Source organism: Homo sapiens, chromosome X (genome assembly GCF_000001405.40).
Source record: "Homo sapiens chromosome X, GRCh38.p14 Primary Assembly".
NCBI lineage: Eukaryota > Metazoa > Chordata > Mammalia > Primates > Hominidae > Homo > Homo sapiens.
The window spans coordinates 70,848,835-70,862,355 of NC_000023.11; the positions used below are offsets into that span (position 1 = coordinate 70,848,835).

Here is a 13,521-nt window from a genome sequence, read left to right on the forward strand (position 1 = left end):
CTTCCTCAGTGTGACCCTGTCAGCTTCTACAAGTGGTCCTACTTTAAATAGGGGAGGGAGCAGAAGCAAAACATACGACCCTTGCATCTGCAGATGATGCACACTGCAGAAAGAGGCATTGCCAGTAACCAAGGGAAATGGGGAATTAGGAGAAACACCAAGATCTATAGTTATTTTTACAATTCTAAAAGATTACAGAAGGGTAATCTGGCACTTGCATACACAGAAAAGTATCCTTCACCTTGCAAGTGGATATAGGGATTGAGGAAAAATAAAATGTTAACAATTGTTAGGAAGGTCATGTGACCACTTTAGACAAAGTCTGTGTCCCACCTAACCTAAGTCATTCATTTGGCACTTAATATTTTTCTTTTTCCAGTTTTAGAAAATGTATTCATGACCTATCTCTCAAACTAGCTTATAATTTTCTTAAGGAAAATGACCATATATTACATCTCCACTCACACATAGCACTGAACACTGCATGTAGATCACTTATCTGTACAACTATTATAGTACCCAATTTTTTCTATCTTGCATATGCATCCTTTATCTCACCAATTAAACTATAATCCTTGAGGATAGGATATGTGATTATTTGCATTATTCCACAAAACCTAGCATAGTAGTCTGTTCATAGAAGATATTCCTTGTCTGTTGAATAACTTAATAAATAATAAAGCAATTATCTAACTGGTTAAATGGTAGGTGCCTAGAGAAAGATAAGGCCTCTCAGGAGCTTTATTAGGACAGAGAAAACTCATTATCAAACACCGCTATTAACCGCCATTTTAAAGATGTCTTCTCCCAAGCAAATATCAACAAAACTCATAAACTCTAATGGTGCGAATGTCTTAGAAATGAAAAATTAACTTAGAGCAAAAGGAATTAGCCTTCACCACAACTTCTGAAGATGTCATCACTTATCAAAGTCAAGAATTATATAGTTCTCATTACTGATTATAACAACTAACACTTTTAACCAGCTATATAAAGATGCCATTTAGATATCAACATCCACCACACTGAACAAATGCTACAAGACTTTCTGAAATCATAGGATCTTGGTGTTAAAAGGGACTTAAGGGTCATAGTAGTCAAATTTCCTACCAAATGAAGGAATTCCTTCTGCAATGTATAATTCTTAGGATATTCACACCTTTGCTTACAAATTTCCAGTGAAAACAGATTTAAAATCTTGCAGGAAAGCTATTCCATTATAGGATTACTATCACTGATAAAAGGCTACTCCTTATATTAAGCCAAAATCTGTCTTCCTATAATTTCTACCCATTGTTCTTCATTCCATCCTGTGGAGTTTAATTCCTTTTTAATACAATAGTCCTTAAAATATTCAAAGAGAGCTATCATTCCTACTGTCTTCTTTTTCTGAGACAAACATCACTATATTCTCCAAATATTTTTCATATATTTTGTACACCAACCCAGTGATTTTAAAATGTGATGCCTAGAAGTTATCACAATATTCAAAATGTGAATTAACTACCTAGATGAGGACACTATGTATCTATTAACATAGCCTAGGACTGTGCTAGCTTTTTTTGCAGTTACGTCACATCACTGATTTAAGTTTGAGCTTGTGGACAATTAAAACACATAGGTCTGGCCAGTCGCAGTGGTTCATGCCTGTAATTCCAGCACTTTGGGAGGGCAAGGTGGGAGAATCACTTGAGCCCAGGAGTTCAAGAACAGCCTAGACAACATAGTAAAACCCTCCCTCTACAAAAAAAAAAAAAAAATGTTTATTTAATTAGCCAGGCACAGTGGCATACACCCATAGTCTTACCTACTCGGGAGGTTGAGGGAGGAGGATCCCTTGAGCCCAGGAGGTTGAGGCTGCAGTGAGCTATGATTGGGCCACATTACTCCAGCCTGGGCAACAAAGCAAGATCCTGTCTCTAAAACAACAACAAAAATACCACACATAGGTCTGGCCAGGCATGGTGGCTCACGCCTGTAATCCCAGCACTTTGAGAGGCCAAGGTGAGAGGACTGCTTGAGGCCAGGAGTTTGATACCAGCCTGGGCAACATAGCAAAACCTTGTCTCTACAAAAAAAAGATAAAAATAAATAAATGAGAGAAAATTAAACAAAACCTAAATAAATGAAAAGACATCCCATGTTCATGGATCAGAACACAATATTCTTATGATAACAATATCCCCCAAATTGTTGTATAAATTCAATGCTATCCCTATCAAAATTCCAGCTGGCTTCTGTACACCAATTGAAAAGCTGATCCTAACATTCATATGGAAATGTAAGGGACCCAGAAAAGTCCAAACACTCTTTAAAAAGAACAAAACTGGAGGACTTGCAATTCCCAATTTTGAAACTTACTACATAGCTACAGTAATCAAGACAAGTGTGGTACCAGCATAAGGCTAGATATACAGATAAATGGAATAGAATCAAGAGTCCAGAAGTAAACCCTCCCACTTATGATAAATTGATTTTTGACAAAGGTGCTAAGGTCATTCAATATGGGGAAAGAATAGTCTTCTCAACAAATGGTACTGGGACAATTGAATAGCCACATGCAAAAGAATGAAGTTAGACCACTACTTCACATTATACCTGAAAATTTACGTAAAATGGACCACAGATCTAAGTGTAAGTGCTAAAACTATAAAACCTTTAGATGTAGAGAAGGTGGAGCCCTCATATACTACTGGGGGAAGTGTAATAAAATAGTTCAGCCACTATGGAAAACATTCTGGCAGTTTCTCAAAAGGTTAAACACAGACTTAGAGTTACCATGCTACCCAACAATTCCACCCTTAGTTATATACCAAAGAAAATTAAAAACATACACACACACACACACACACACACACACACACACAGAGTAAATGAATGTTCACATTAGAATTATTCACAATAGACAAAAATTGGAAACCACTCAAATGTTCATCAATAGATGAATGGATAAACAAAACATGGCATATTCATACAGTGAAACATGCAACAACACTGATGAACCCTGAAAACAATTATGCTAAATGAAAGAAGCTAATCACAAAAGACCACTTATTGCATGATTATATTAATATGAAATGTCCAAAATAGGCATATCTATAGAAACAGAAAATAAATTCACGGTTGCTAGAGCTAGGGTCAGAAGCAATGAGGAATGACTGCTAATGCTGATGGGGATGTCTTTTTGGGGTGACAAACATGTTTTAAACTTAGCTTGTGGTGAATATTGCACAATTCTGTGAATATACTAAATTACTGAATTACACAGTGTAAATGGGTGAATTTTATGGTATATGAATTATATCTCAGTAAATATGTCAAAAAATAAAAAAGGGGACTTTTCTTTTTCATTGTTGTTTTGTTTGTTTGTTTTTTGAGACACAGTCTAGCTCTGTCACCCAGGCTGGAGTGCAGTGGCACAATCATAGCTCACTGTCACCTGGGTTCAAGGAATCCTTCTGCCTCAGACTCCCTAGTAGCTGGAACTACAGGTGCACACCACCAAGCCTGGCTAATTTTTCACTTTTATTTTTTGGTAGAGATGGGGGTCTTACTATGCTGCCCAGGTTGGTCACCAATTCCTGGGCTCAAGCAATCTTTCCGCTTCAGGCTCCCAAAGTGCTGGGATTACAGGCACGAGCCACCATGCCCAGCTGGGGATTTTTCATTTCCAGAATTGCGTAATAACAGAAAGCAAACTCATCATAGCTCAAATGCACACCTAAGTGTATGATGGCAAAAGGAGGAAACCCACAAGATAAACAGAGGTAAAGTATAACTTTAAACAGTGTATGATCTCAGCAGACTTTTAGAAAGCATCAATAGACAACTCAGAACAACTGCAAATGAGAAGGCTCTTTTCAGGCAAATATTTTAGGCAGACTGTGAATGTAAGAGAGAGTCACAGAGACAGGTGTTTCAAGTAGGGATTGCTGCCATAAATAAATGACAGATGTTACATGCAGGGGGTGAAAATGATGTTTAGCTGTATATCAGTCTTCTCACCCTTAGCCACCCCATAGATTCCAATCAGCATTAGTAACATCACCTTCAGATATAACAGAGATAAAAAGGTCAAATTAATATCCTATAAAAGGCCAGTGACATCTGACTTTCTTCCAATAGGCTATATATCATCACTTTTACTTTTACATATGGAAAATGCCCCACTGGAAGACCCTGGTGCCCACGATACCTACTGACTCTGCTTGGTAAGAAAGCACTCTGAAGTGGTCACTCTCAACAGTAATCTTCTCCATGGTCAAGTCAGCCTCAGGGGAGCTCCTTTGAATTAATTTGACGTATAATTGCTCCAGACTCTGGAAAATAAACCCACAGTACAATGTAACAATGAGAATAACCACAGATGTTACTACTAATAATTGCCTCAGCTAAAAGTCAATGGTAACTTACGGCCACAGCAGCTTGAAAACATTCATCAGCGATTAGAAAATTTCCAGCATCCAACCATTCTTTTCCTATTCTCATATTCATCTAGAAGAGAGAAATTAGAAAATAATTTTTAAAAATTCATACCTCCCCCAAATTGGTGGGGGAATATTGGAGAAAATATTGAATCCTCTGTCCATATTCAGTCTTATAACTCACAGAAAACAAAAAGCAACAGTTAGCATTTGTTAGAGTTCTGTGTTCTACTTTGAACTCCACAATTTAAAAGAAATGGTCATAAAGACAAAAATAATAGCAAAAATTAATAGACTTAAAAACACATCTTCTGAGGAAATATTAAAAGAAAACGTTGAAGTAACTTAGATAGGAAGAGAAAGTTCTGAAAACTTAATGCTTCACATACTTGAAGAAAGGCATATGATAAGCATTAGACTACTGGGGTTCTAGTTTTTAATTCCATCTGCAATAAAATTTGGATTAATCCAACAAATGTTTATTAAGTACCTTTATATTCCAGTCTCACTGAAGGAGCTCACAGTATTGTAACTGGTAGATATCCCAACATGCACAAAAATGCAAAATGTGGAAACAGCCCTGGATGCGAACAGTAGGAACATCAGGCAATAGGCCTCCCCAAGAAAGGTATCTTCCTCCCTCCTCTCCAGAAAGGAACAGAGAGTACAATTACTTTGGCTGGACAGAAACAGAGTTCTAGGTGGCTGACAACACAGGTTAATGAAAAACATCCAGTCCTACCTCTTCATCAGTCACTGGATTCAGGTTATAGTACACAGTGTGACACAATATTCATAGAAGATCATCACAGAATTTCAAATCAAATATGAGCAAGAATTACCAAACAATTGAGGGAAACCAATGCCATGAAAGGACATCACACTCAACAAACAGAATAACTGAGAAAATAGAATTGAGAGAGCTAGCAGATGGAAACATACAGAGATACCAAATTATAATCCACAGAGTTAAATAATAGTCACAATCAATAACATGCCTTTTCAGTTTTCATTATTAGGGATCAACAAAGCCCAAAATGCAAATGTTAGAGGTGACAGAAGGTGGAAGGTTAAAGGGAAAGAGAGATAGAAAGAATGGAAATATCCTCACAAAGTAGCAAGTAAAGAGATAAACTCCAAATTTGATTTTAAAAAAAAAAGAAAGAAAAGTTTAAATATATGACTTAGGGCTGAGCATGGTGTGGCTCACGCCTGTAATCCTAGCAGTTTGTGAGGCTGAGGTGAAAGGATGACTTCAGGCCAGGAATTCAAGACCGGCCTGAGCAACATAACATAGCAAGACCCTGTCTCTACAAAAAATTTAAAAATTCATTGGGCATGGTGGTGCACACCTGTGGTCTCAGCTATTAGGGAGGCTGAGGCAGGAAGATTGCTTGAGCCTGGGAGGTGAAGGCTGCAGTGAGCCATGATCATGCCACTGCACTCCAGCCTGGGCAACAGGCAAGACCCTGTTTCAAAAAAAAAAAAAAGCATATGTTATTTTAGGCCAGGCGCCGTGGCTCATGCCTGTAATCCCAGCATTTTGGGAGGCCGAGGTGGACGAATTTCTTAAGCTCAGGAGTTCGAGACCAGCCTGGGCAATACGGTGAGACCCCCATCTCTGCTAAAAATACAAAAAATTAGCTGGGCATGGTGGTGCACACCTGTGGTCCCAGCTACTTGGGAGGCTGAGATGAGAGGATTGCTTGAGCCCGGGGTGCCAAGGTTGCAGTGAGCCAAGATCGCGCCATTGCACTCTAGCCTGGGTGACAGAGCAAGACCCTGTCTCAATAAAAAGTATACTTTTGAAATATATACAAAAAATTATATGTGTGTATATAAAAATATATATAATTAAGTTTTAAAAGACAGCCAACAGATAAATTTAAAATAGTATAATATAACTAACAAAAATTGAGAGGGGATGGGGAGGTAACATGATATAATATGAGATAAATCCTCATCCATCATAATAGCAAATAAATAGATCATAAATAAAGCTGATAAATCAATAATTAGTTATTGGCCAGACATGGTGGCTCACGCCTGTAACCCTAGCACTTTGGGAGGCCGAGGCGGGTGGAAAGCCTGAGCTCAGTAGTTTGAGACCAGCCTGGGCAATATGGCAAAACCCCATCTCTACTAAAAATACAAAAAATTAGCTGGGCGTGGTGGTGCATGCCTGTAGCCCCAGCTCCTCAGGAGACTGAGGCACAAGAATCACTTGAGCCCAGAAGGTGGAGGTTGTAGTGAGCTGAGATCATGCCACTGCACTCCAGCTTGGGCGATAGAGTGAGACTCTGTCTCAAAAAAAAAAAAAAGAATTAGTTATTGTTACAAGCAGAATTATGTCCCTTCAAAGTCCTACACTGTAGCCCTAACCTCCAACACCTCAGAATGTAACTGTATTTGCAGATAGGGGCTTTAAGAAGTGATTGCATTAAAATGAGGCCATTAGGGCGGGCCCTAATCTCATCTGACTGGTATCTTTATAACCAGAGGAAATTTGGACACACAAATGGGCACGAAAAATGAGCACACACAGAGGAAAGGCCATGTGAGAGGACACAGCAAGAAGGCGAACATCTGCAAGCCAAGGAAAGAGTACTCAGAAGAAATCAAACTTGCTGACACCTTAATCTTGAACTTCTAGCCTCCAAAACTGTGGGAAAATAAATATCTGTTGTTTAAGCCAACCAACCTGTGATATTGTGTTATGGCAGCCCTAGCAAACCAATACAGTGATACAAGCATATGACTAAGATACATAGAGGGAACCATGAGAGTGAAAACAGAAATGGTTATAGTAATAGCCTTAAAAGTGGCAAAGACATAGGCACAAGGCAATTCATTGCAGCATCCAAATGTCCATCAAGGGAGGCTGGTTGAACATAATAAGGTACATACAGCAATTGAAATACAGCTATTAAAAATAAGGAATATCTCTATATATTTCTATGGAGTAATCCCTAGGATATAATGTTAAACGAGGGGGAAAAAATCAGGTGAAGAAGAGTATATATGGACTGTTACCATTTATCTAAGAAAATGGCGGAATGAGGGGAGATATGAGTATATATTTGTCTGCTTATAAACACATATTTTATATAAATTTTGTACATATATTTTAAAATATTTTATATTTTGAAATATAAAAATACATTATATAATCTCTTACATGAAATGGTGTAATATTTGCATATAACCTATACACATCTTCCCATGTACTATAAATCATCTCTAGATGATTTAATACAATATAAATGCTATGTGAATAGTTGTTATACTGTATTTTTATTTGTATTATTTTTTATTGTATTGTTATCTTTTTAAGACTTTTTTGGTAATATTTTCAATCCATGATTGGTTGAATCCAAGGATTCAGAAACATACTGCCTATAAATTATTCTGACAAAAATCAAACCTGTATCAGAACAAGCTTCTAGATCTAATTATCAGTTTACAGAAAATAAGGGTTAAAGGAAACGATGGACTATTAAGTGACACCATGAAGAAGCACCAGAACCCAGAATTTAGAAAACTCTATAGGACAACCTCATTTCTTCAACAAATAAATCCGTTCAACAGATTTTTTTTTTAAAAAAAAGAGAAGAAAACATGTAGTTTCATTAAAACAGACATATTAACAAAATACAAAGTATGGATTATCTTTGGTCCTGATTTTAAGAAACCAATTGGAGAGGGGGTGGGAGGACTAGATATTTGATTTGGGGAAATCTTTGTTAGGTTTTATCAGGTGTGGTAAAGTGAACTGGGTTTGTTGAATATAAAAATACATTGTCTTGGGGGACGTGGGGAAGCACTGGGACACGATTACAGGGTTGGGCAGGCCCCATCTGGGAGGAGTTCATGGGTGAGTCCTGGGTCTCCTGCCTCCTGAGGAGATGGATAAAGATGGGCTTCCTCTCATGGGAGTCAGGCGTAGACTTGATCAAGGTGCCAGCTATTCAGCAGAAAAGAATGGTGGCTTTTCTAAACCAAAATGTGGTACACACTGTATAGTGCCTCAATCGCTCTTCTACATTTAGTGAGGAGAAACTGGCAAACCTTTATCTTGGTATCCAGCAAATTGAAACAATTCTCAATACTGTAGATGCAAAGTTGTCATCTATACCAGGCCTAGATGATGTCACATTTGAAGTATCTCCTTCAAGTGCCACTAGTGTCACAAATGGATCACATTCTGAAGTCACCTCAGAGTAATCACAGCAGGACAGTACATTAAGACTCTGGACCACAGGAAAGTTAAGTATCAGCAGGAAATATCTTAACTGTAGCTAAAGATTCAAGATATGTCATATATCTCAAAATGGTTCAAGTGAGTGTACCAGTGATGGCAATAAGAAAAATGATATCAGAAGGACTAGACCCAGATCTTCTTGAGAGGTCAGGTGCTCCAGTGCCTGATGGCAAAAGTGAAAATCCTGCAGAACAAAGTTCAGATAGCGAATCTTCTTTTAGTGACTAAGCTTAATTTTGATAAGAATTACATGTGCATGTGTATTGCAAAATTGTGGAACCAACCCAAATGCCCATCAATCAACAAGTGGATAAAAAAACTGTGGTATATATATATAACTGAATACTATGCAGCCATAAAAAGGAAAGAATTAACAGAATTTGCAGTGACCTGGATGAGATTGGAGACTATTATTCTAAGTGAAGTAACTCAGGAATGGAAAATCAAACATCGTATGTTCTCACTGACATGTGGGAGCTAAGCTACGAGGATGCAAAGACATAAAAATGATACAATGGACTTTGGGGATTTGGAGGGAAGAGTGGGAGGGGGGCAAGGGATAAAAGACTACAAATACGATGCCTTGTATACTGCTTGGGTGATGGGTGCACCAAAATCTCACAAATCACCACTAAAGAACTTACTCATGGCCGGATGCAGTGGCTCACACCTGTAATCCCAGCACTTTGGGAGGCCAAGGTAGGTAGATCACGAGGTCAGGAGTTCAAGACCAGCCTGGCCAAGATGGTAAAACTCCGTCTCTACTAAAAATACAAAAATTAGCCGGGTGCAGTGGCCTGTAATCCCAGCTTCTCAGGAGGCTGAGGCAGGAGAATTGCTTGAACCCAGGTGGCAGAGGTTGCAGTGAGCCAAGATCATGCCACTGCACTCCAGCCTGGGCGACAGAGTGAGACTCCATCTCAAGAAAAAAAAAAAAAGAAGAAGAAGAACTTACATAACCAAATACTACCTGTACCCCAATAATTTATGGAAAAAATAGAAAATAAATAAATAAATAAATGTGTAGGGGTACATTTACATTCTATAAGAGATTGAACTCTCTTAGTCATAAAAACATCAAATGGCCACATATACACCACCAAGCATCCTCTATGTTTAAAAAAATTAAGCATTTACAAGCTGAAAAAAAATACATTGTCTTTTAGAAACACACACTGAAATATTTATGGGCAAAATTATACATGTTGAATTTGCTTGAAAATAATCCAGTGGGTTGGCCAGGCGCGGTGGCTCATGCCTGTAATCCCAGAACTTTGGGAAGCCAAGGTGGGCGGATCACCTGAGCTCAGGAGTTCGTGACCAGCCTGGCCAACATGGTGAAACCCCATCTCTACTAAAAATACAAAAATTAGCTGGGTGTGGTGGTGGGCGCCTGTAATTCCAGCTACTCGGGAGGCTGAGGCAGGAGAATCACTTGAACCCAGGACGCAGGGGTTACAGTGAGCTGAGATCGTGCCACTGCACTCCAGCCTGAGTGACAGAGCGAGACTCTATCTCAAAAAAATAAAAAATAATAAAAATAATCCAGTGGGGCCAGGAGTTTGCTATTTGAGGAGATATAGAAGAAACAAGAGTGGCCATGAGTTGATGATTACTCTAACTGAGTGATGGGTAAATGGAGGGAATCATTGTACTGTCTTACCTTTTTTATATATGTTTGAGCTTTTTTACATAATAAAATATTTTAAAACACTGGGAAAAATATTTTTCCACTAAAAAAATGTATTTGCCTCTAAGGAGCAAGAGAACAGATAGGGCTGGGTGTGGTGGCTCACTCCTGTAATCCCAGCACTTTGGGAGGCCGGGGCGGGTGGATCACTTGAGGTCAGGAGTTCAAGACCAGCCTGGCCAACATGGTGAAACCCTGTCTCTACTTAAAAAAAAAAAAAAAATTAGCTGGGCATGGTGGCAAACACCTGTAATCCCAGTTACTCGGGAAGCTGAGGCAGGAGAACTGCTTGAACCTGAGAGGTGGAGGCTGCAGTGAGCCGAGAACACACCACTGCACTCCAGCCTGGGCAACAGAGTGAGATCCTGTCCAAAAAAAAAAAAAAAAAAAAAGAGAGAACAGATAGATGGAGCAGAAAATCACTTTTTATTACTTTAATTACTTTTCTGAACAATTTAATTTTACATAAACATACATTTGTATTTTGGGGGGTGGAAATAAATGTTTAAAAAATTAATCTTTTAGGCCAGGCGCAGTGGCTCATGCCTGTAATCCCAGCACTTTGGGAGGCCAAGGTGAGCAGATCACCTGAGATCAGGAGTTCAAGACCAGCCTGACCAACATGGTGAAACCCTGTCTCTACTAAAAATACAAAAATTAGCTAGGTGTGGTGGCGCATGCCTGTAATCCCAGCTACTCAGGAGGCTGAGGCAGGAGAATTGCTTGAACCCAGGAGATGGAGGTTGCAGCGAGCCCAGATCACACCACTGCATTCCAGCCAGGGTGACTCCCTCTCAAAATAAAAATTATAAGGAAAAAATCTTTTAAATAACAGAAATGCAAGAGGAAGACTTCCACTTTCAGCCATGATGGAATAGCTCAATTCAAACTGACTGTCCCACTCTAAACAACCCTAAAAGCTGGACAAAATATAACTGTGTGAAGGCATTGGAGTGGCTACAATCTTTGAAAGAAGGAAAACACACAAGGTGAACCCTGCATTCAACTCAGTTTTATCATATTATATATGATACAGGATTTATCAGACTGTTGTCATAGCATTTTACATGGACAAATTCTACCACTATGTATTTACACATATATTTTATAGTTTACAAAGCATTTTTCACAAAAACTCTAATTTTAACTCTATAACACTCTAAGGTAGATATTACTATTTTCATCTTACAAAAGAGAAAACTAAGTAATCTTCCAATGTCACATAGCTAGTAAGCGGCAGACCTAACCTAGGTCTTGAGACTTCAAATCCTGTACCCTTTTCCTTATTTACTTAGTGCTTCAAATTTTTCATTTGAAAAACTCATTTAGAACTAAGTATTACCATTCCCTTAGATGAAGAAACAGTTACTCTATCAAGTTAGAGATGAGAAAAGTAAAAAATAAATCATCAACCCAGAATTATAAGTTCAGTATTTGGTTCACTGAACCACCGTAATTACTACAGTATTCTGAGAACTTTAGCGTAGTAAATATACCATTATAAAAGGAACACTGAAAAGGAACACCATCAAAAAAGGATAGCACTAAAAGATTCAACCCCCTTCCAGTTTCACACTAACTTTACCATTTTCATAGAAGTAACAACCATCTCATTTCATCTCCACTTTCTCCTAAATTAAGACTTACCATAATCAGTCGTTGAATACTTTGTTCTGAGGCAAATGAGGCTTCACACATACTCAGCAACTTGCAAGCAACATAATGTACTGCAAAACAGTAATTAGACAATGATAAACACAAAACATTCATTCTCCTTTTATATACACCAAAGAGAAAAGACAATTGAAGGAAGCCAGTTTTGTTGTTATTAAAAATAAAAATTGTAAAGGCCTTTTTTTTTTTTTTTTTTGAGACGGAGTCTCGCTCTGTCGCCCAGGCTGGAGTGCAGTGGCGGGATCTCGGCTCACTGCAAGCTCCGCCTCCCGGGTTCACGCCATTCTCCTGCCTCAGCCTCCCAAGTAGCTGGGACTACAGGCGCCCGCCACTACGCCCGGCTAATTTTTTGTATTTTTAGTAGAGACGGGGTTTCACCGTTTTAGCCGGGATGGTCTCGATCTCCTGACCTCGTGATCCGCCCGCCTCGGCCTCCCAAAGTGCTGGGATTACAGGCGTGAGCCACTGCGCCCGGCCTGTAAAGGACTTTTTAAAAAATCAATTTTCAAAAGTAAATGACCTAAAACTTATTAAATGAATCATTTACTGAATGTTTCAGTAAGAGATTTATTTATTTATTTATTTATTTATTTATTTTTGAGATGGAGTCTCACTCTGTCGCCCAGGATGGAGTGCAGTGACGCATGATCTTGGCTCACTACAGCCTCCACCTCCCAGGTTCCAGTGATTCCCCTGCCTCAGCCTCCCGAGTAGCTGGGATTACAGGCATGCGCCACCACGCCCAGCTAATTTTTGTATTTTTAGTAGAGACGGGGACTCACCACGTTGACCAGGCTGGTCTTGAACTCCTGACCTCAGGTGATCCACCAGCCTCGGCTTCCCAAAGTGCTGGGATTACAGGTGTGAGCCACCACAACCGGCCCAGAGAGATATTTAATACTTAAATTTTAATTTCTTAAGGTCTTAAGTCCCAAAGACTCACTAAAAATACCTGATTCCACATGATGCTCTTGTGTATACCATGTTAACAGAAAAATAATTGTAAATTCAATTGATCTAAAGCTGTTCAACATCTGACAAAATCTCTGGACATCAGAATAGTTTTCGATTTCTCTCCTAAAATGTGAAACTTTCTAAATATATATATATTTTTTTCTGTAGAGAGGGGGTCTCGCTCTGTCACTCACCCAAGCTAGAATACAGTGGCATGATCATAGCTCACTGCAGCCTCAAATTCCTGGGCTCAAGCAATCCTCCCAACCTCAGCCTCCCAAAGTGCTGGGATTATAGGTGTGAGCCACCACACCTGGCCTAAACATATTCTTTTCTGTAGATGTCATAACAGTTCTTAAAGTATAATTTAGAAGATACAGACTACTTCATTATATAACTCATTTTCCCTGAAAATAGGGAAGTTTGAATAATTATAACCTCTTTATTTCTCTAGTTTATTTCAGCATAAAACATATTCAAGTTTTAAAAAACAGCTTCACAAATAAATGAACTAGTCA

At 38.8% G+C, this 13,521-nt stretch overlaps 1 protein-coding gene and 1 pseudogene across 4 annotated transcripts in view; one reads left to right on the plus strand and one right to left on the minus strand.

The window, feature by feature from the left end:
* TEX11 (testis expressed 11) overlaps positions 1-13,521 on the minus strand; it is a 397,485-nt gene that overhangs the window by 337,608 nt on the left and 46,356 nt on the right. For all 4 annotated transcript variants that reach the window (XM_017029649.1, XM_011530994.2, NM_031276.3 and 1 more), the window contains 3 exons: positions 12,023-12,102; positions 4,414-4,494; positions 4,200-4,319 (listed from right to left, as the gene is read on the minus strand). In XM_017029649.1, the coding sequence (XP_016885138.1) occupies positions 4,200-4,319; positions 4,414-4,494; positions 12,023-12,102 (281 nt within the window). The remainder of the gene's footprint in view (positions 1-4,199; positions 4,320-4,413; positions 4,495-12,022; positions 12,103-13,521) is intronic.
* Positions 8,308-8,944, plus strand: WASHC3P1 (WASHC3 pseudogene 1; annotated as a pseudogene).